General features: G+C 38.5%; 1 long non-coding RNA gene, 1 other non-coding gene and 1 pseudogene across 2 annotated transcripts, besides 1 other annotated feature; 2 read left to right on the top strand and 1 right to left on the bottom strand.

The window, feature by feature from the left end:
- Positions 1-509: 509 nt before the first annotated feature.
- LOC124902391 (uncharacterized) lies at positions 510-6,746 on the top strand. The gene is made up of 2 exons (XR_007062086.1): positions 510-1,343; positions 6,345-6,746. It is a non-coding gene; the product is annotated as an uncharacterized LOC124902391 (long non-coding RNA).
- A 10,264-nt stretch (positions 6,747-17,010) lies between these two features.
- TRN-GTT2-3 (tRNA-Asn (anticodon GTT) 2-3) lies at positions 17,011-17,084 on the top strand. The gene has a single exon. It is a non-coding gene; the product is annotated as a tRNA-Asn (tRNA).
- Positions 17,310-17,559: a silencer, noted in NCBI's record as "silent region_2201". NCBI's record gives its function as "represses an Ori minimal core promoter by ATAC-STARR-seq in GM12878 lymphoblastoid cells {active_cell/tissue: GM12878}" and the evidence as "EXISTENCE:reporter gene assay evidence [ECO:0000049][PMID:35858748]".
- On the bottom strand, positions 20,522-20,896 carry PSME2P6 (proteasome activator subunit 2 pseudogene 6; annotated as a pseudogene).

The raw sequence follows: 23,682 nt of genomic DNA, 5'->3' as shown, positions 1-23,682 counted from the left end.
GTGTGGTGGCTCATGCCTGTAATCTCAGCACTTTGGGAGGCTGAGGCGGGTGGATCACCTGAGGTCAGGAGTTTGAGACTAGCCTGGCCAACATGGTGAAACCCCGTCTCTAATAAAAAATAACAAAAATTAGCTGGGCGTGGTGGCAGGCACCTGTAATCCCAGCGACTGGGAGGCTGAGGCAGGAGAATTGCTTGAACCCAAGAGGCAGAGATTGCAGTGAGCTGAGATCACGCCATTGCACTGCAGCCTGGGCAACAAGAGAAAACTTTGTCTCAAAATAAATAAATAATATGTTTTGTGGGTTTTTTTTTTTTTCTTTGACAGGGTTCTTACTCTGTCACCCAGCCTGGAGTGCAGTGGCACGATTATAGCTCACTATAACCTCGGGCTCCCTGGCTCAAGCAATTCTCCTGCCTCAGCCTCCTGAGTAGTTGGAACTATGCAGGCTAATTATTTTATCTTTTGTAGAAATGGGGTCTTGCTAAGTTAGCCAGGCTTGTCTTGAACTCCTGAGCTCAAGCGGCCTTCCCACATTGACTTCCCAAAGTGCTGGGATTACAGGCATGAGCCACCATGCCGGGCTTAGAATGATGAATGAGATAAAATGGGGTACAAAGAAAGGAGCAGCCATTTCTGGATCTCAGGTGTGATGTCTCTTTTCAGGGAAGGACAGGGGTGATACAGCCATTAATAAAAGCAATCTCACTTTCCTGGTTGGTTGTCTCTTTGCCTCCTCCCCTGGAATAATACAGACCTCTGTAGAAAATCACAGGCAGGGTAGGGATGACGGAGCTGGCCTCCTCCCTTCCCTTGGCCTGACAAATATGCATGGAATTCCCAGGAATGTTCAAGCTTTTTTTTTTTTTTTTTCCAAACTTCAGATTAGAATCCAACTCATGTAGAATCCATGTAGAATCCGACTCAAACAGAATCCATCAGGCATGAGAATTCTGGAATGCCCTTCCTGGTTTATCTACTTCATCTGTGTTCCATGAAGGGCACCTGGTCTCACACCTAGACTCCGGGAGCTCCAGGTCCCTACTCTCTTAGGTTTCAGGGCCTAACCAATCAGGATGGCAAGAAGGATGTATTTGGGGAGATCCAAGCCTGTCTGCTTGGCTGTAGTGTAGGACTGGGGGGAAAAGAAAGGCACAGTAAGGATCAAAACAAGGCTGGAGCAGTAGGTAAAGATGAGTTCATGCCAACGTAGGAGGCTTGAAGATGTTTGGTAAGTCATAGGTTCCCAAACTTTCCAGCTCACTGCATCTGTAGCATCTTCGTAATTTGTTCATGGTGCCCTCAGCCAGAAGACATACTTCACAATTCCATTCGTTAAGTAGGTAAGTCTAAACAACATATTAGTGGTCATTTGTGAGGTGTTTGATAGGTGGGGCTGTATTTCTCTCAAACATTTAAAATATCCCACAGCAACCTTGTGAGTTTGTTCCCTGTGGTGTCCCAGGGTGACCTGATGGGAAATTTGAGAACCATGGTATAGGTCGCTAAAGATTTTTCATCTGGTGAATTAAATATTTGATTTTGTATTTGAGAAAGCGCCATCTTTCTGTAGATTGGAGTAAAGGCGTGGTGGGAGGTAAGGAGACCATAAGTTAGTGGTAGTCATTTAGGAGAGAAGTGATGGGGATATAAAATGAGACATACTAATGAGCATGCTGCTGGATCTAAAATATGTTATGGAGGTAGAATGGAGAGGAGGATTTCCTTATCAATTGGTTTTTGGAGAGAAAGAAAGAGAGAGGTTGATTCCTAGACTGTGGGCTTGGGTTAAAGGGTATATGATAGCAGACATGTTGAAAAAACATATCTTTGGGAGAAAGAATAACATTTTTTGGCATGCTGAATTTGAGACGTGCAAGGATGAGATGGATATAGGGCATTGGAGCTCAGGAGCAGATCTGAAAAATATAAGTTAATTATGAATATATAGATTAGGGCTGACAACATAAGAGTAGACGAAATGGCTCAGGATGAGTGTAGAATAGAAAGAAGCATGCCCATATGTGATGGTCAATTTTCTTTTAATTTTAATTTTTGTAGAGATGGGGTCTCACTATGTTGCCCAGGCTGATCTTGAGCTCCTGGCCTCAAGCAATCCTCCTGCCTCAGCCTTCCAGAGCACTGGGATTACAGGCATGAGCCACCATGATTGGTCTGGATTCCTTATAAAAAATATTATAATGAGTACATCATGTTTAGAGAGCCAAGAAAGGGCAGGGTCCTGCCTAGGAGACAGAGCCAGGACAGGTATCATGAAGCTTGTGTAAAGTGATATGTTTTGGGTGGAGCCAAGACTCTTCCCCTACTGTTGTTCTGTTCAATAGAGACCCTGGGTCTTTCTTTTTCGTTTGTGGTGGCGCCCCCTGGATAGAGCCTCAGAGAGGCAGCATCACAAAGAGCTATGCAAGGAATTGGTTCTGCAGGGGAGACAGTGGAGGGCAAGGTGTGGGGGACTGCGGGGAGGAGGAGGGGGTAGGGGAGAGGTGGTAGCACACAGTGCGAGGATTCTGTGCCATGCCAGTTCAGCCTTATGTTCAAAGCAGCTGTTCTTTCTGGGCTTCCAAGAGAGGAGCACCATTTTTATGCCCACATTGTAACAAACAATGAGATATGTACTGGTTAACAGTATCAAATGCAATGCAGTGATTAAATAAGGAGTGGAGAAAATCTATGGAATCTTACAATTTGGAGGGCCCTGGTGACTTATCTAAATACCTTTTTTGCAATAGAGCAAGTCAGAACCCTGAGGATCTCAGGGATTAACAAGGGAGACAGCCATGTCAAACAAACAAAACCAATGCACTGTGATAAGGTGTAAGGCTTAATATAAGGTGGGATAACTTTCTCTCACCTCTCTCATTCACTAATCACTTCCTATCAGCACCTGTCACTGGTAGGTGGTTTCTGATGCTCCGAAACGCCCAGGTGCGCTGGCTTCCAGCCTAGCTCCTCTCCTCCCTCTGCGTGTTCTTCCTGAGCAATTTCATCCAATTTAACTATCACCTGTAGACCAGTGATTTCTCAACCTGTATTTCTAGTTTCCTGACTTACTGAGCTTGAGTTCAGCATTTTGAACAATGGCCATAGTACTGGGCACATGGAGGTACTCAGTAAATGTCTACTAATTCACTTAAAAGTTGATCCTAAGTAAACTGATGATGTAGGAGTAAATTTGGATCTCAAGTAAACTGAAGTTTACACAGTGAGTAAGCAGGGAAATACTTTCCAATAGATTTGACATAAAACTTCAATTTCTTTTTTTTTTCTTTTTCTTTTTTTTTTAGAGACAGGGTCTTGCTGTGTCACCCAGGCTAGAGTGCACTGATGTAATCATGGCTCTCTGCTGCAGCCTCTAACCCCTGGGCTCAAGGGATCCTCCTGCCTCAGCTTCCTGAGCAGCTGGGACTACAAGTGCAGTCCATCATAGCCAACTAATTTTTTTTTTTTTTTGAGATAGGGTCTCCCTCTGTTGCCCAGACTGGAGTGCAGTGGCATGGTCTTCGGTCACTGCAGCCTTGATCTCCCAGGCTCAAGTGATCCTCTCACCTCAGCCCCCTCGAGTAGCTGAGGCTACATGCACTTGCCACCGTATGTGGCTAATTTTTGCACTTTTTAGTAGAGATGGGATTTCACCATGTTGCCCAGGCTAGTCTCGAACTCCTGGATTCAAGCAATCTGCCCACCTAGGCCTTCCAAAGTGCTTGGAGTATAGGCATGAGCCACCATGCCCAGCCTGCCCAGCTAATTTTTAATTTTTTTGTAGCGATGGAGTCCTGCTATGTTGCCCAGGCTGGTCTTGAACTTCTAGCCTCAAGTGATCCGTCTGCCTTGGCCTCCCAAAGTGCTGGGATTACAGTCATGAGCTACTATGCTGGGTCTAAAACCTCAGTAATTAACCGGAAACCAGATGAGAGTTTCACTATGGGAATTGGGTTAGGTGCAGCTAATCACAGTGAAGAATAGATTAAAATACATGGATTTGCAAATCAGAATGCAGGTTCTGCTGCTAACTTTGGGAAATTCAGCTAATTCTCTGTGTCTTTGTTTCTATGCTAGTAATGCTTTATTTTAAAATGTATTTATGGTTATTAAGATGTAATTCACATACCATAAAATTTATCGATTTAAAGTGTACAAGTCAGTGTATTTACAGACTCATGTAACCATCATCACTAATTCCAGCGTGTTTTCATCACCCTAAAAAACACCCTCATGCCCTCATTCCCCATTCCCCATTACCCCAGTTTCTGGCTACTGCTTTCTATCTCTATATATTTACTATACTGTACATTTCATACGAGTGGCATCATATAATATATGTCCTTTTGTGTCTGGCTGCTTTCTCTTAAGCATAATGTTTAACCATAAAAAAAGTTAGCATAATGTTTTCAAGATTCATCCATCTTACACCATGTATCAATACTTTGTTCCTTTTTATGGCTAAATAATATTCCATTAATTGGATGTATCAGATTTTGTTTATTCATCAATTGATGGACATTTGCATTGTTTCCATTTTTTTGCTATTATGAATTATGCTGCTATGGACAGTACTGTATGTCCTGCATGGACATTACAGAAACTTTTCTGTGTGGCCATATGATGACTCAATGTTTGACATCTTGAGGAGCTACCAGTTGCTTTTCTGAGTGGCTGCATCACTCTGTATTCCCACCAGCACTGTATAAGAGTTCCAATTTATCCATGTCCTGGCCAACACTGGTTATTGTCCATCTTTTTTATTGTTGCCATCCTCATTGATATGAAGGGACACCTCATTGTGATTTGATTTACATTTCCCTAATGACTAATGATATTGAGCATTTTTTTCATGTGTTTATTTGCCATTTGTATATCTTCTTTAGAGGAATGTCTACAAATCCTTTTCCCACTTAAAAATTGATTATTTTTCTTTTTATTGTTGCATTTTAAGAATTCTTTATACATTCTGGATGTTAGAACCATATCAGATATATGATAGGCAAATATTTTCTTCAATTCTGTGGTTTGTATTTTCACTTTCTTGTTAGTATATTTTGAAGCATAAAAGTGTTTAATTTTGGTGATGTCCATGTCCACTTTATTTTTTCTTTTGTTGGTTGTGTTTTTGTTGTCATATCTAAGAATCCATTACCCAATCCAAGATCACAAAAATTAAGGTCTGTATTTTTTCTAAGAGTTTTATGGCTTTAGGTTTTACATTTGGGTTTTTGATCCATTTTGAGTTAATTTTTGTATATGGTGTGAGTTAGGGATCCAATTTCATTCTTTGCATGTGTACATGTAGTTGTCCCAGCACCATTTGTTGAAAAGACTCCTCTTTTCCTCTTAAATTGTCTTAGTGCCCTTGTTGAAATACATTGGCCATAGATGTAGGGACTCCCAATTCTACTCCATTGAACAATATGCTCATGCTTATTCTAGTACCACAACTATAATCCCAGAATGAAAAGGTGAATTACATAGAAGAAATTTCTATTCTCAAATTACTTCATAACTCAAAAGACTTGTGGGCAATTCAGTTCTGGGTTTTCTTTCATCTCTCGTTGGAAAAAAAAAATCTCTGCATCAACCCCATCTAAAATAACTAAATTGTATGCATAAACCTAAATTTAAATACTCATCTGCAGGTCTCGTTTATAGAATCCTACTTATGTTGATGATGTGGGCTTTGGCAATCTCTTTCTCACTGTATTCTATGAAATAGCTTAAAAAGTCAATTATGAATTGAAGCATTCAATTATTAGAATGCATAATACTAGTTTAATTTAAAAGTTAGTCTTCAGTTTCATGCAAAACCCTTCGAATTATTAATTTTAGAAAAAATATGTATTTATTATATCCTGTAGACTTAGACAAAGGATTTAAAATTCCTCTACTTTAAATGCAAGGATTCCCATAATGAAAAATCTCTTGACTGTAGGACCATGGCATCTCCTAATTCAATTTATAGTCTTTGTGTTTTGGTTACTGACACTCTTAATTTTAAAAATGTCTTTAAAATATTCTCTAGATAAGGAGATATGGTAGCATGATGAAGCTCTCATGAAGGCAAAAAGTGGTTCTCTTGGAAATGCCATAGACGGTTGTATTTGGCTCTTTAGCTCATAAGAAAATATTTTTTCTCTAAGTAAACAATCACAAATTCTTTTCTGGTTTTGCCAAAGGGAAGCCTGTGGCACAATGTTTCTATTGAGGTCACTTGCTGAATTATACAGGAACCCTCTATCAACTCTGAAAGGATTTTTGATCTTTCTGATTATTTAGACACTGCTAAATTTATGAAAATTCTCTGCTTCCTATGTCTTATTGGTCATCCTTAGGAACTGTTTTGTGAAAGGCAACCCAGGATAAGAGGAGGAACACTTGTAAAGCTTGATATACCCCAGTGGCTTCCTGTGAGTCTCAGTTTTGCAGTTTCAGAAATACAGGTTTATCAGCTTACCAAGAGGTTAACAGGTATGAAAAACTCGGGTTTTCATAACCAAATGTAAAAGGAGTTGGTTTTCAAACCACAAAACTCAATGACCATTCATCGAGGGCTCCATCTCACCAAAGAATAAGAACCGATTTTATACAATAGTTGTTCTCCTTTCTGATGGGTATTTCTCAGGAGATGAAATGGCAGATTAGAAATATCTGGTGAATATGTACCTGGAATATGAGAGAGAGAGAAAGAGATACAGTTCGGAATTTTAAAATAAAAAATTTAATTATTATTTCAAGAATATTACTAATTTGACTGTTATAATTGGGACTATTCTTATCGTATGAAGTTGAGGAATACTGAGAAGTTCTGCTTCTGTCAAACTCATGATTAGCATCACACACCTCTTTGTGGTTGTTGTAGCCTCCTTTTTCATTTTGCCATTGTTTCAGATTGACGTTGCAATATCCAGTTCGCTAAATATGTTCAATAGAGGTAGCAAAGGTGCCTAACCTGAATTTAATCATGAGGAAACACCAGACAACCTGACGTTTAGGGACATTCTACAAAACAACTGGCCTGTACTCCTCAGAAATGTCAACATCATGATAGTAAGTAAGAGAGATACAGAAAGAAAGAGAGACCCAGGAATTGTTATAGATTAAAGAAAAGTGAAGGACATGACAACTAAATGCAAATAATGGTCCTGGATTTTTTTTTTTTTTAACAAAGGAACTCATGGGAAAAACTAGTGAAATCTGAAGGTCTGTACTTGGGACTGGGACCTAGTTCTAATAATGCTGTATCCATGTCAAGATCTTAACTTTAGGCCAGGCACAGTGGCTCAGGCCTATAATACCAGCACTTTGGGAGGCCAAGGCAGGTGGATCACTTGAGGTCAGGAGTTCAAGACCAACCCCATCTCTACTAAAAACACAAAAACATTAGCTAGGCATGGTGGCACACACCTGGAATCCCAGCTACTTGGGAGGCTGAGACAGGAGAATTGCTTGAGCCCGGGAGGCAGAGGTTGCAGTAAGCCAGGATCATGCCATTGCACTCCAGCTTGGGTGACAAAGCAAAACTTCATCCCCACCACCAAAAAAAAAGTCCTTACTTTGATCACTGTACTGTGGTTATGTAAAATAATACATTAATTTAGAAAGCACACTGAAGTATTTAGAGGATATCATGTCTGCAATTTACTTTCAAACAGATCATGAAAAAAGCACCCAAATATATAAAGCAAATACTATTAGACTTAAAGGGAGAGATAGATTGCAATACAATAATAGTAGGGGATTTCAACACCCAACTTTCAGTGATGGACAGATTATCAGACAAAAACAATCAACAAAGAGACATCAGGCTTGAATTGCACCAAAGACCAAATGAACCTAACAGACATCTGTAGAACATGTCACCCGACAGCTGCAGAATACACACTCTTTTCATCAACACATGGAGCTTTCTCCAGGATAGTTCATTTGTTTGTCCATAAAACAAGTCTGAACAAATTTCAAAGAATTGAAATTATATCAAGTATCTCTTCTGACTACAATGAAATAAAACTAGGAGTCAATAACAGGAAGCACTTTGAAAACTCTACAAATACATTAAAATTAAACAACGTGCTCCTGAATAACCAGTGAGTCAATGAAGAAATTAAAAAAGAAATTAAAACATTTCTTGAGACAAATGAAAATGGAATCACAATATACCAGAGCCTATAGAATACAGCAAAAGCAGTTCTGAGTATATTTATAACATAAACACCTTCATCAAAAAAACTGAAAGATCTCAAACAATCTAACCTTGCCTTTCAAGGCATTAGAAAAACAAGAACAAACTCAACATAAAATTAGTAGAAGGAAAAAGGTAACAAAGATTAGATCAGAAATAAACAAGATAGAGACTAAAAATCACAATACAAAGGATCATTGAAATAAAGAGTTGTTTTTTGAAAAGATAAACCAAATCGACAAACCTTTATCTAGACTAAGAAAAAAAAGAGGAGACTCAAATAAATAAAATCCGAGATGAAAAAGGAGATATTACAACTGATACCACAGAAATACAAAAGGATCATGAGACTTATGAACAACTATAAACCAAAAACGGGAAGATCTAAAAAGAAATGGATAAATTCCTGGACACATACAACCTACCAAGACTGAATCAGGAAGAAACAGAAAATCTGAATGGACCAATAGATCTAAACATTCTTATTTCTTCATGAATACATTTGAAGAATCATGATTGAATCATTGAATCTACCAAGATTGAATCATGAAGATCCAATAGCAGGTTGGTCTCATTACTAGACCAGCAAGTAACAAGATTGAATCAGTAATAAAAAGCCTCTTATCAAAAAGTCTCCCTCAAATTCCAGGACCTGATGCCTTCACTGCTGAATTTTACCAAATACTTAAGAAACCAATACCATGCCAGGCACGGTGGCTCACGCCCGTAATCCCAGCATTTTGGGAGGCTGAGGCCAGCGGATCACTTGAGGTCAGGAGTTCTAGACCAGCCTGACCAACATGGTGAAACCCTGTCTCTACTAAAAATACAAAAACTTAGCTGGGCATGGTGGTGGGTGCCTTTAATCCCAGCTACTCTAGAGGCTGAGGCAGGAGAATCGCTTGAACCTGGGAGGTGGAGGTTGCAATGAGCTGAGATCATGCCGTTGCACTCCAGCCTGGGAAACAGAGCGAAACTCCTGAAAAAAAAAAAAAAAAAAAAAGAAAGAAACTAATACCAATCTTTTGAAACTGTTCCAAAAAATTGAGAAGGTTGGAATTCTTCCAAACTCATTTTGTGAGAACAGCATTACCCGATACCAAAACCAGAAAAGGACAGACACAAATAAAGGAAACTACAGGCCAATCTCCCTGATGAACATAGATGCAAAAATCCTCAACAAAATATTAGCTAACCAAATCCAACAGTTCATTAAAAAGGTCAGAACAGATCAGAAAAAAAAAAGTCGTACATATTGAGAAAGAAAGACAAAAGAGTAACGACAATATTTAGGGAATTTGGTTGAATTCTTTGTACTATTCTTTCAACTTTTAAGCCTGAAATTATGTCAAAATTAACACATTTGAAACGAATGGAAGATTTTTAACGCTTCAAATTGTTTAAAAATATTTAACTATATAGTACATGAGAGTTATTCTGTAATTTTAAAAAATAGAAACAGTATGGCCCAGTGGTTTAGAGAGAAGTCTAGAGAAGGATGCCTGGGTTTGATTCCTTGCTCTGTCACTAGCTGTGTGATCATGAGTAAGTTACATAACTTCTAAATTTCCTTACCTGTAAAAGAGGGATAATAATACTGAAACCTACCTCACAGGTTGTTATGAAATTTAAATGAGTAAATATTTGAAAATGACTTTCAACAGTGTCTAACATAAAGTGTTGTACGAAGTGTTTGTTAAATGAATAAATCTAGAAAATCACTTTAGTCTTAATGATGCTATTATAAAATCACCTTCAGGAATAGCAGTACTTTGAACTTTAAAAACTCAAAAACTTTCTTTAAAAAGTTTTTTTTTTAAACAAATAACTGATTTGGATTTTTATTAGTCTTTTCTTTGACCAACTTGGGATTCCTTAAAGTCTCCCTTGATAAACTCTTGTGCCAATTTTTTGGTCCGCTTCATATTAGGAACCTGTAAAGTGCACTGGCTTTCTTTTCTTTTCTTTTCTTTTCTTTTCTTTTCTTTTCTTTTCTTTTCTTTTCTTTTTTTCTTTTTTTTTGAGACGGAGTCTTGGTTTGTTGCCGAGGCTGGAGTGCAGTGGCATGATCTCGGCTCACTGCAACCTCCGCCTCCCAGGTTCAAGTGATTCTCCTGCCTCAGCCTCCCGAGTAGGTGGGATTACAGGCATGCACCATCACACCTGGCTAACTTTTGTATTTTTAGTAGAGACGGGGTTTCGCCATGTTGGCCAGGCTGGTCTTGAACTCCTGACCTCAGGTGATCAGCCCGCCTCAGCCTCCCAAAGTGCTGGGATTATAGGCATGAGCCACCATGCCCGGCTGACTGCAATGGTTTTTCATAAAAAATATTTAACATAGTTCCTTTATTTTCACTTATCAATTTTCAGTTATCCAACACATTTTATAATTGACTAAGTCAAGTGCTACGGTAAGTTTAAAGATGAACAATGTTTCTAACCTCAAGGAATACACAAATTAGAAGGGGGAATTAAGCACAGAAATGGTTATAATATAATGTGAGATTTGGAGAAGTAAAAAGTGGGAGAGGGCTTACAAGAAGGAAAGATTACATCTAGTTGGTTAGAGCAGGAAAGGTTTCATAGAGGATGAGGATAAAGTTAAAGGAGGAATAAGATTTTAGTAGGTGAGATAGATGGGCGGGTGTTCCAAGTAGCGGGATGAACAAAAAAAGCAAGACAGAGCAAGTGGTACTTTGGGATACTTATTTGAAGTTTAAACAGATTTAAAGTTAAAATTTAAACCATTGTAAGCCATCATTTCCTTATCCACAGACATAACATAGTACCTGTCTTACAGAGTAGGTGAGAGAAAAATGATGCCTGTGTTGTATTTAGCACAGGGTCTAACAGTAAATGTGCATTATATATGCTATCTATTATGCTGTATAATTTTTGGTACACATTTGTTGGAGTTTAGGTTATGGCAGGGAAGCAGGTACGTGGAATGTATTGGATTAATATTGAGTGGTGTGAATGGGGGTGAGAAGGAGAGGACAAAGCTAAAGTTGAGAGACATTGCAAAAGTCAAATCCATGCAACTGACCACAGATAAGAAATAAAAGAAGAGGAAACTTGGGCTGCTAGATGAGGAATAATGACCTGAAAGAGCCACAGGGAAAATAAACCAACTTTTTCTATACCCCATAAATTCCAGGCACTGGGCGAGTACTTGATTCCTGTGATTTCATATTTTAAAATCATCCTTTTGGTGGAATCATACTGTAAATACACGAGAGCACTTGCTATTTACACTATTCTAAGGTGAATCATTCCGTAATTCTACAAAAACTTTTTTTTTCAAATATGGGTTTTATATCAAGTTTGCTTAAAATCTAGATCAGCACCCATACCTATAAATCCCAAAGATAATGTTTATATGTTTTCAAAATTATAATGATGCAACAACTATTTGTTGAATGAACAGTGCGCTGAGTACCAACTTTTTACTAGGAACAACTGTCTTCATGAGTTAGTTGCCTTTAATTCAAGGTAGCAAGGAGGGAGCCATTTCTGGGGCATTTGGTCTGTACCCCCCATACCTGAAATTTTACTGGAATTGTGGAAATGGAGAGCAGTGTTTTCATCTTTTTTTTTTTTTTCTTTCTGAGATGAGGTCTGACTCTGTCACCTAGGCTGGAGTGCAGTGGCACAATCTTGTCTCACTGCAACCTCCGTCTCCCTGGGCTCAAGGGATCCTCCCACCTCAGCCTCTGGAGTAGCTGGGACTACAAGCATGCACCACCACACCCGGCTAACTTTTTGTATTTTTGGTAGAGAAGGGGTTTCGCCATGTTGCCCAGGCTGGTTTCATCCTTATATTATGCCCTGTATGCCACTGCTGGGAACACCTGGAGACCACCAGGAAGTGTGTGATGCTGTCTGGTGGCTTTTCCTGAATAACTCATCTTTACCTTAATGCAAGAGGCTTAGATTCTTTACCTTAATCGAAATCATACCCTCTGATTGAAGTAGGATTTTTTTTCCTTTCATTTATTTTAAACAGAACTGTTCATCTTTAACTTTGTTTGTTTTAGAGACAGGGGCTTGTTCTGTTGCCCAAGCTAGAGTGCAGTGGTATGGTCATACCTCACTGTAACCTCAAACTCCTGGGCTCAAGCCAGCGTCTTGCCTCAGCTCCCCAAGTAGCTAAGACAACAGGCACGTGCCACCAAACCCAGCTAATTTTATTATTATTATTATTATTATTTTGTAGAGACGGGGTCTTGCTATGTTGTCGAGGTTGGTCCTGAACCCCTGGCCTCAAGCAATCCTCCCACCTCGGCCTCCCCAAACCCTGGATTATAAGTGTGAGTCACCACGTCTGGCCTGAGTTTAAAAATTTTAAATGGCATATTTGTCTAACATTTTAGAGGTGAAAAAACATAAATCACACGTTATTTTTTTATAGGCTTATTAATTAGGTAGGGCAAATATTCTTAATTTTATAGAGGAGGAAATAAATGAGCACTTCCCTGAATCATGCAATATTTAGTGCTCTTCCTCCTCCATCTGCCTACCTTGTTGAATTCATTCCACACTGTTTTATTCTCCCCTGTGTCTCTGGGTTCCTCAGTGGATTGTTTGACCGGCCTATTCCCTACCCACAACCTCTGGCAGTCACAGCTGAGGAGTCAAGTCTTCCTTGGGCACCTGCTTACTTTCTTATTTCGAAGCAAATGGCAAGAGGATATTTGTGTCTATTCTAAAATTTTTAATGTTGATTTTTAATAGCTGAGTTCAGAAAGATAGGCGGGACTGCCAATTTATCAGCATTTTTACTGTAGAGATTGAATAGCAAATAACTGTTGCCTCAAGTTGTTTCTGTGAACACATCATGGAAAATTGAAGACTGTGGCTCCCATGCTAATAGCGTTGTAGTCAGGAGATGGAAAATGAGATACAACTTAGCCAATTTACTGAGATAACCATAAGGTCTTTCAGCAGAAGTTTCCCCAGTATACTGAAGAAAGTTAAAGTTCTCCTTCTTACCCCTCCACCCCGCAACCATTTCTAGCTAGATCCAAGATTGTATTGGTCTGGACCCAGGTGAAATCATTGATACTGTTTGCAAATAACACTCTTCTACTAAAGAGATCTGCAGTGATTAAAATTTTAGCTCTGCATTATTAAAGCTATAAAAATGGTTTGAAAGTATTTTCATATACAAAAGAGAGGTTCACAAAGTAAAAAATATATATATAATTTTTGTTTGAACCCACCAGGCAGATTATTGATGCATTATTTTGCCCCCCTTTAGCTTTTCTCTTAAACCATGTCTTTTTAGAGATAATTATCTGAATAATTTCACAAGATTTTCCAACTAAGTGATACAACTTTAAAAAATAATAAAAAAGAAATATACTAATATACCTTAATGCTGATTGCCTTTTTTTTTTTTTTTTTTTTTTTTTTTTTGAGATAAGGTATTGCTCTGTCACCCAGGCTGAAGTGCAGTGGCATAATCACAGCTGACTGCAGCTGCAACCTCAACCTCCCCGGCCTCAAGTGATCCTCCTGCCTCGACTTCTCAGGTAGCTGGGACTACAGGCACACACCACCACACCTAGCTAATTTTTGGATTTTTTGTAAAGATGGGGTCTTCCTATGTTGCCCCAGCAGGTCTTCAAGTCCTGGTGTCAAGCTATCCTCCCGCCTCAGCCTCTCAAAGTGCTAGGATTACTAGTTGTGAGCCACCATGCCCAGTCGAATGCTAGCTTCTGTGATGCTCCTTTTGGCTTGTTAAACATAACTGACCTTAGTCCTCCAGTTTTATATGAGAAGGATACTTTTGGTGAGTAGGAAACGTGGTTTTAAGCTTGAGGCTGGTTGGAAGGGTTCGATTTACTTTTACTCATAAATCAGTTGTAAAATATGATTAGCATTTGTTTTGAGAATTGGTTTCATAATTCTCCTCTTGCTCTTAGAGACATCTGTGTAGTGTTGTCTTTTAACTTATTTCCTGGTGCCACCACCTTCCACTTATTGGGATGACTTCTGTAACTCACTTGATTTAAAAAACAATTCCAAACTTTGTTTTTCTTTGTTTTGAGACGGAGTTTTTGCTCTTGTCACCCCGGCTGGAGTGCAATGGCGTGATCTTGGCTCACTGCAACCTCTACCTTCCGGGTTCAAGCGATTCTTCTGCCTCAGCCTCTCGAGTAGCTGGGATTATAGGTGCCTGCCACCACGCCTGGCTAATTTTGTATTTTTAGTAAAGACGGAGTTTCACCATGTTGGCCAGCTGGTCTTGAACTCCAGACCTCAGGTGACCTGCCCGCCTCAGCCTCCCAAAGTGCTGGGATTACAGGTGTGAGCCACCATACCCGGCTATTAAAAAAAATTTTTTTTAACTGGATTTTTCGTTTTTAACGACTCCGTCACCATACTTCTGAAATACAGAAATGAAGAAGAATTCAGGTCATGCACAATCCTGCTAATGGCAACCCTGTGAGTTGCCTATGCTGTTGGGATGAAGCTGGAAGAATATTATCTGAAAGCCTTGGATTCATGGTATCTGGAAGGTGTTAGATCAGTGTGGTCCATTGTGGCTTGCCTGTTAAGACAGGTGAATCCTATTTGCACAGATCTTCTTGCTTTTCTCTCTTCCTCTCCAAGAAGAAAATAAAATATATATGCCCATTAATCTGCACAGATGAGCCCCATTGATAGGGCATATTCTTAGGAAAAGTAAATTTGCAGTTCAGTTGTGTATAATACACAAAAAAGGGGGCAAAATGCCCAGTTCATTTTACTTTTAGCAGTTATAAAGACCCAAGTGCTAATGAAGCTATAGGACTCATTTATCTTGGGTTATCTTAAAATTAAGAAAAGATAATGTATGTTTCTAAAATTAATCCAGTGGGCTTAGTTTGGCTTTAAAAACTGAACATAAATATTATGGCCTAAGATGAGATAATCACAAAGATTTAGATGACAATGCATTCTTCTCCCTTATTTTTGTTAGTGATCATTCTGCATAAAAGATGTGCTTGATATATACCATTGGAATAAAATGTTCAGAGTCCATTCAATATTTTAAACATTTATATGCTCCTTTGAAGTAGTTTCAAGTGGAGAGGGAAAACAAGGCAGAGCTAAGTAACCGTGGAAACAGCCATTTTATGTAAAATGTTAAAAACTACAGAACCAGGCTTGAAGACAGTTTTAAAACCAATAGTGGTACTTACATAGACAATTTTTTAGCCTAGAATGAGTTAATATTCCTTTCTGAGTTAGTTTTTCTCATCGACTGTTTCTCATTATCTCTCTTGTTAGAAGTCAAATGCTAGTATGATGACTGAAGTGAGGAAAAGATATTGGAGCTGAAGAGATTTACATGAGTAGAACCGTTCCTAATATTACTTTAAACAGAAGAGTAAACATTGAATGATGGGGCAGTGAAGTACACCCGTTGCAGTCTGTTCTAACTGGATAGTCACAAAAACAACAGAGGAAAGGACACTCAGTTTGGTATTTGGAGAAGAAAAGCCAGTACCTGATAGTTTTAGCTCCCATTAACAGGTACATATAATATTACCAAGTACAAAGCAGCATCGTCTAATGAAATGAGACTTCTCATACACTCTGTAGAAGCATTTCCTAGATTGTTTTTTCAAATTCAAAAATTTCAAGTGCACTTCCAAAAGTTTGTTGAAAGTGGCGTGGTGCAGCTTGGCGTGAATTCACAGCTGTTTAACATCTCAACGCTTTCAGGGAACTCGGCTTCTAATTGGTTCCAAAGCCAATTTAAGTTGTCTTACCATGCAACGGGAACTCAAAATGCTGATTGGACCAAGACGCGTCGCTTACAACGTCTATAAATCATGATAGCGATTGTTTTTGGAGGGATTCTGTACAGAGCGGTTTAGTGACTGTTAAAAATTTAAACACGTTCACGTTCTCAAGTGGAAACTCGCAATTATTTGAGGAGAGAAGAAGGGAGAAAAAGAGCGTTTGGAACTTAGAAGTGTACCTTAAAAGGCACCAGGAAACATTCACACAAAGGGAACGATTTTCATTGAAGTATTTATAGGAATGGAGCATGTTTACCTGCAGTGTTTCTGTGCTAAAAATTTGCAGGAGTTAGTATAAATCATTCCTTTTTCTTCTTTAACTTCTCTTTCCTCAAATTGGGTTTTATTTATCCCTCGAGATGTGTGTTTTAAGTGCTATGCTTCGATGTGGGTGTGTAGGCTAATTCCAGGGACGAGGGCAGATTTAGCAATAAACTACAACGCACTGGAACTAAGAAATGTTCCTGTAGCTTTTTTTCCCTGATGTTTCTTTCCAGTAACAAAATGTTAGTGTGAAATCATTGTACTGTATTTAGTACAAAACAAATAGGGATTTCATCTATGCATTTAGTAATACCTGAATATAAAAATAAAGCAGCCAAATAAAATTCAGATGACCTTGGGAATACTACACAAGTAAATCACGAGAGATGAGCGAACGAAGCACTGGGCAAATTGTTCGAAACAAAGGGAAAGTTTCTCAGCTCACAAGATGAAAGCTTTGATTTTCTCATAAAAGAAAACTAATAAGAAATAGTTATTTTCCTGAAATACAACGTTCCAAATGGGAGTTGGCGGGGGGGAGCAACAGTATTTTAATACATTTTGCAATCTGCAATGCTGCTTGATTTTGTTGTATAATTTTGCGATATGCTTAAAAGGTGGAAAATAGAATTAAGAGGGTTGGAAACGTGAAGTAAAATATTTTGGTTCTGATAGTACCAATCAGAAAGCAGAAACAGCCACACACTGCCTTTATTATTCTTCATAAAGGCTGAGGCAGAAGGGGAAAATGACACCGAAGTCTCTGTGGCGCAATCGGTTAGCGCGTTCGGCTGTTAACCGAAAGGTTGGTGGTTCGAGCCCACCCAGGGACGCGCTCTCCTTTTATGAGCTGGTCGCGGGAAGTTTTGCAGAAATCGAGTTCAGGCCTCCGGGATAAGAAGGGGTGGATTTCCAGGGACCAAGCAAAGAAACCACCGACCCTTACACTACGCGGCCAGCCGGCGAGCCCTTCGCTTTCGGCCGGTGCAGAGCGGCCTCCTCTCCCCCGCTGTCCTCTCCCGGCTGCAGGTGAGCGCGGCCACTCCTTCCCCGGGGTCTTCACGGCGGTCTAGGCCTCGCCAGGGTGCTGGAGCGGGGACGCGCAGAGGCCGCGCGGGCCCGTTTGCCGCGCGCGCCCGCCGCTCCAGCTCTGCGCGTCCCCGGAGGCCCGCGCGTACACGGGGAAGGCGGCCCGGGCTGGTCTTGCTCGGCTTCGTGACGCGTGAAATGTAACGGGGCCACCGAAATGCATGTATTTCAACAGTGTCAAGTTCAAGCTGCAAACTGAAAACTCCTACATTTTGTTGAAGCATGGCCGCCCTTTTGTCTGTTCCCTGTCAGCGTAAACATCTCCGTTTGCGACTTAAACATTAATTGTTCCTGGTATTAATGCCTTCAGAAATAATTTTTGTGTAGTAAATCTTTCGTGTGGACAATATTGTAAGAATATATATTATATTTTACTTTTTCTACTAAAACGCTTGAATTTAGTAGAGAATAGAATAAGCCTGCAACACTTCCCATCAAGGCGGAAAAGGAGAAAACCTCTTTTACAATAGTATGACTGTTAAACCTGAAAAAAAAGAATGATGAGAAAGATTGAATGTGAAGCTGCTACCATACTTTGCTTCAACTTTCTACTTTCAACGTCCCCTACCTTTTATTTCCCCAAATGCAAAGCCCTCTCAAAATAGTTTCCTTCTATTTTATTACTTTGAGAAATAATCATAGTTTCATCATAATAATTATTGTTTTGGCTTGGACTACAGAAAATTGAAAGACAGTTTTGAAGAAAAGTGTAAGAACTAATACATCTTATTCCTGTGGATATATTGTTTTATATTCGTTATGTTTCAGCTCAGTTGACATATTAATAAAGGCTTATTTTATTGAGTGCTTTCGTGGAGAAAGGTATGTAATCTTCATAAGTCTTCCAGGTCCTATTATTGCCATTGTACAGATGAGGCAACTGAGGCACAGTGCGACTGAGTAAATAGCTGAGTAATTTGCCGGAAGTCACAGTGAGTTTGGAACCTGGGTAGTCAGGCCCAAGCCCAAGCTCCTCCCTGATGTACTGCCTTCTTGGAAGTTCCTTCCTCTAAAATACAGCTACCTAATTAGTTAATTTGAAACCAAAAGATACTTGAATTGGTTTTTATGAAGTTTCGTTAATATTTTGCTCCAAATCTTGTAAAGGGGGTAAAATAAAAACCAACACAACATTTGTGGCGTGCTAAAGGGCATTGTTAAATTATGCATTCATTGGGCTGCTCAATTTTATTCAAATGAAAGCTGTGTGTGCATAGGAAGTATTCCTGGGGAATCTGTCTTAGGGAAACAATTTGTTAGCATTTAGGTACAGAAGGCAAGATGAGAGAGAGAGGCAGGCAAAATCTGGAAGGAGACAGATTCAGGATAGATTCAGGCCATGGAGTCTAGAGACTAAGGATTCTTTGACCCCAAGCTGATGTTTGGGAATTGGCACATCCACGTAGACCCCTGTTTCAGGACACTTTTGTGAGATAGTACCAGAATTTGTACTTGACCAGGGGCCTAGGTGGCAGTTTAAAATTTGATCTTAAATTTCTAAATACATTCTATTTCACCCTATTTTGGGTATTAATATGATTTAGAGACCAGAAAATGGAGGAGAATTAAATGGGAATGGAGGTGTCACACTGAGTGCAAAACTCCCCTCTAATGTAAGCAGAAGCAGTTGCTGTGATTATGTGGACAAGTGCTTAGGCCATTTCCTTGGCTCTTGCAGGCAGGTAAGATAGGTGGGTCCCAGTGTGGGTGGCTGACACCGGTAGTCTCAGCACTTTAGGAGGCCAAGGCAGGAGGATTACTTGAGCCCAGGAGTTGGAGACCAGCCTGGGCGACAGAATGAGACAGCATCTCTACACAAAATAAAAAATTAACCCAGCATGGTGATCACTTCATTGCACTCCAGCGTGGGTGACAGAGTGAGACCCTGTCTCAAGAAAAAAAAAAAGGTAGGTGGGCAACAATTTGGAAGAATTGCACAAATATTTATGGATGCATTGGCCTTATAAAATTTCAACGTGTCATGGTTGTTGATGTTGCAATAAATGCTATTTCTGAGGAGCATCTTTTTGTCCTTAATTTCTGGGCTCTGTAATACCAGCCAAACCTAGATATATGTCAAGATCATTTAAAGCTTTAATTAAAGGCTGAATAGCATTTAAAAGGCTATGTTGTATATTTGAGTATGTAAATATGTTCCTAATGTTGCTAATAGAGTTGTATACTTAAACTGCGTATACACAATCAGAGGGAAATTCACTGAAGTAACATAATAAAAGGTGAACCAATTGCTATGATTTAAAAATAAAAACTCATTAGAGAATGTACTATTCATCTAATTCAGAAAAGGACAAAACAGATAATAGATAAAAATTAAAGATCTGTCACAAAAGTCATAGAAGTCATTCATTTAAAGTATTTTTATAATGCAAGTGTTTCTTTAGAAAATAATGGAGGCTAGGAGGAAGCCACATGGTTTAACGTGTCTCTGCTTTCGTTTCTAACACTTGTGTCTGATGTCATGCAATGCAAAGTTTAGGAAAAAAAGCCTGAAGAAACCTAACTGCTCTGTTTCTGCATGCATAATACATGATAATGAATAATGCAAATATGAACTTTTATTTCTCTGAATTTTGATGGACACAGGGCCTAAAATGTTCTTCAATTTATAGCTACAACTGAAAACAGCAATGAATTGAGGGTAGAATAAGCTATAATACATTTAACTAGAAAATAGTTAAAGAACTTGAAACATTTTAATTAAGTAAGAATGTTAATTTTATCAACTGTATTATTTCATTTTAAGTCCTTGGGGTTAATCCCTTTTGGTAATGTCAGTGTATTTTATGTTTTTAATGTTGAAACTAAGTGTTGAGCTTACAGGAATAGGGTGAGAATAAACTATGTCTATAGATCACACCAAATACTTAAATCTTAAGTTATTTTTAAAGCCTACATTTTTAAGAAAAATCTTAATATTTTAATTGTTTGAAATATGATTGAAAAGGGAACTTTTCGATTAAGCATAAATACAGAAATGTACACGAATTATTGAGTACAACTGAATACATTTTTACAAAGTTAACACATCTTTGTAAACAATTATCAACATCCCAGAACCCCCCTTTATGTTTTTTTACCAGTTACCAAAATATAAGTTTTAAACTGTAAACATACAGATTATTAGGTTAAAATGTGATTTTTTTTCTTTTTTTTTTTTTTATCCACACAACATATAGATCATTTATTTTCCTTCTAGTCCTGGGTTCAGTACATAGATGGCTTCTCTTCACCCTTTGGGTGGACAGTTTTCTCCAAGTTGCTGCTGATGATATGATAAAGCTCAGCATAGAAGGCCCTCAGGTCCAGCACCATGGCCCTGAGCTCCGCATAGGCTGCCTCATCTCGCTCATGCACCAAGACCCGGTAATCCATTACATGAGTCTCCTTGGAGGCCTTGGCCACTGCATCCCCACGTTCTGAGAAATACTTGGAAATGGTTGTCTGGAAAGCTTCCACTTTGGTCTTGATGGCATTCACCCTCTCCAACACCTTATCCTGGATTGCTACCCCAAAATCATTTCCATCTTCAATCTTGTTAAGCCAGAAGTCTGGACTCTTAAAGAGAAATGCATTCTGGTGATTACATGGATCCAACACCTGATCCCTAAAATGTGAATTTTTAACTTGTCGTCGATCAGTATTGAAAAATAAATTTAAGACTAAATCCTGTGTCTTAGTCTGCTCTGCTCAGCCTACAATAAAAAAACACCACAGACCAGGTGGGTTAAACAACAGACAAAATTTATTTCTCACAGTTTAAAGGATGAAAAGTCCGAGATCAAGGTGCCAGCAAGGTAGGTTTTATTCTGCTGACTCTTCTCTTCGACTGCGGAAAGCTGCCATCTTGCTGTGTGCTTACGTGACCCCTTTTTTGCACATGCACCTGGGAAAGGAATGTCTAGCTCTCTGATATTCTACTCATAAGGACACTAATCCAATCATGAGAGCCACAGCCTCATCACCTCATGTAACACTAATTACTTCTCCAAAGCCCCATCTCCAGCTTCTATCACATAGGGAATTAGGGCTTCAGAATATATGTTTTGGTGGGGACAGAAACATTCAGTCCTTAACACCCTATCAGAGGAATACTTACAGATGAAGATTAGAAAAAATAATAGAAATTAGAAATCAATTTTCCATGCCTACTCACTTATGACCTAGCCATCTATGATAGACTTGGTAAGAAAAAAATGTGTGGTATCAAGGCAGGAAATATGAGAAATTTGCTATTTACTTGAAGGGTTTAATTTTGCCTATAAGCAAATAAAAAGTACTCTTACCCCTTTCCATCAAAGATACAAAACAAAAACAACCTTTTAGAAATGATTATGGCATTTAAGTTAACTCAATTTTATTTTCGGAAATAAAGCGTACATTTTAAAACCAAGATGACACTTGATCATCAAAGTTGCTGTAGGAGAAGAGAACTCAATAATTTCTCAAACAATATAACCAAAAATCTTAAGAATTTTAATCTGGAGTTCTCTATTGGAGGAAAACAATGTCCTGTCATTTTGAAACTATAAAAAAAAAGAGGAAAATCTAGAGCTATATGAAAAAAGCTATATTTAAAGTTGTGGAAAGTCCAGGAATACTGCTGAGGAAAGGCATTCAAGAAGGGATCAGTGTACAAGAATCTCAAGAAAAGGTGTACTTTCTTTGTTCAAACAAAATTATTCGTTGTTATCATTAAAGTGGCAAATGCCTAAGGTTATAATAATAAATATAAAAATTTCAGTACAATTATATTTATTGCAACATTACTTAAAATAGTGAGAAACTATAAACAAGAGATAATATCAAACACTAATGGAAATAGTGAAATAAACTGTGGTTTAGACATTAGACATTAGAATTTATAAAAAGCATTTATACAGACATTTATATAGTGTTCTTCAGAAATAATGCCTTTGGGCAATGTTACAATATGGCATTAGGCACAAAACGCTGGATACAAAACTGTCCAAAAAGTATAATCCTATTTTGTAATAAGACTGAATTACTTACATGGGTGGTCTATAAATATTTCTTGATAGTGAGTGAAATACATCAAAATGAGAGGATCTGATTTTTTTCTTTTTTACACTTTACCTCCCAAGTTATCTACAACAAATATATATTACTTTAATTTGTTAACTTTTTTTCTAATATAAAAATACCTGAACTCATACTCTATATGCAATTTTGAATGCTGTTTTTCTATCTTAAAGTTTATGTATTTGTTTGCGTTCCCCAAAGAAACAGGAACCGTATATATTTCCTTTAAGGAATTGGCTCAAGTGATTAGAAAGGCTGAGAAGTCCAAGAGCTACAGTTGGCAAACTGAAGACCCAGGAGAGCCAATAGTTTAGTTCCAGTTTGAATCTGAGCTGACTGGACAAGGCCTGCCCACACTGGGGAGGGCAATCTGTTTACTCAATCTACCAGTTCACATGGTAAACTCATCCAGAAACACCCTCACAGACACACCCAGGAATACTGTTTTACCAAATACCTGGGCACCCTGTGGTTCAGTTGAGTTGATACATAAGATGAACCATCACAAATTGTACTGAGGAAGACTAGAGAGCCCAGAAATAAATCCCTATATTTACAACAAAATGACTTTTAACAAAAGTGCTGGGATTATTCAATAGGGAAAGGATATTCTTTTCAGCAAATGTTGTAGGAAAACTGAACATCCACATACAAAAGAATGAAGTTGGATCATTGTTTTACGCCATATGCAAAAATTAACTCAAAATGTATTACAGACCTCAATATGAGACCTACAACTATAAAACTCTTAAAATATAGGGGGAAGCTTCATGGCATTGGATTTGACAATGATTTATGTATTTGTTTGAGTAGATATGACACTAGAAACACAAGCAATAAAAGAAAACATAGATAATAGACTACATCAAAATTTAAAACTTCTGTGCATCAAAGGATACTATTAAAAGAGTGGAAAGGTAATTCCCAAGATGAGAGAAAATATTCACAAACTATGTATCTGATAAAGATGTAATATCTAGAATACGGAAGGAGCTCCTACAATTCAACAACCATAAAAAACTAAACAGCCCAATTAAAAAGTGGCCAAAGGGCTGGAGTTGACATTTCCATAAGAAGATGTACAAATGGCCAATAAGCACATGAAAAATGTTCAACATCATTAGCGCTAGGGAAATGCAAATCAAAACCACAGTGAGATACCACCTCACACACATTAGTATGGTTGTTATCCAAAAAAACATAAAATAACAAGTGCTGGTGAGGATATGGGGAAATTGGAACCTTTGTGCACTGTTGATGGGAACTTAAAATCATACGGCT

The sequence above is a fragment of the Homo sapiens genome, chromosome 10 (genome assembly GCF_000001405.40).
Source record: "Homo sapiens chromosome 10, GRCh38.p14 Primary Assembly".
Classification (NCBI taxonomy): domain Eukaryota; kingdom Metazoa; phylum Chordata; class Mammalia; order Primates; family Hominidae; genus Homo; species Homo sapiens.
The sequence above is the reverse complement of the archived record's forward strand: the minus strand, read 5'-3'. Positions and strand labels throughout refer to the sequence as shown.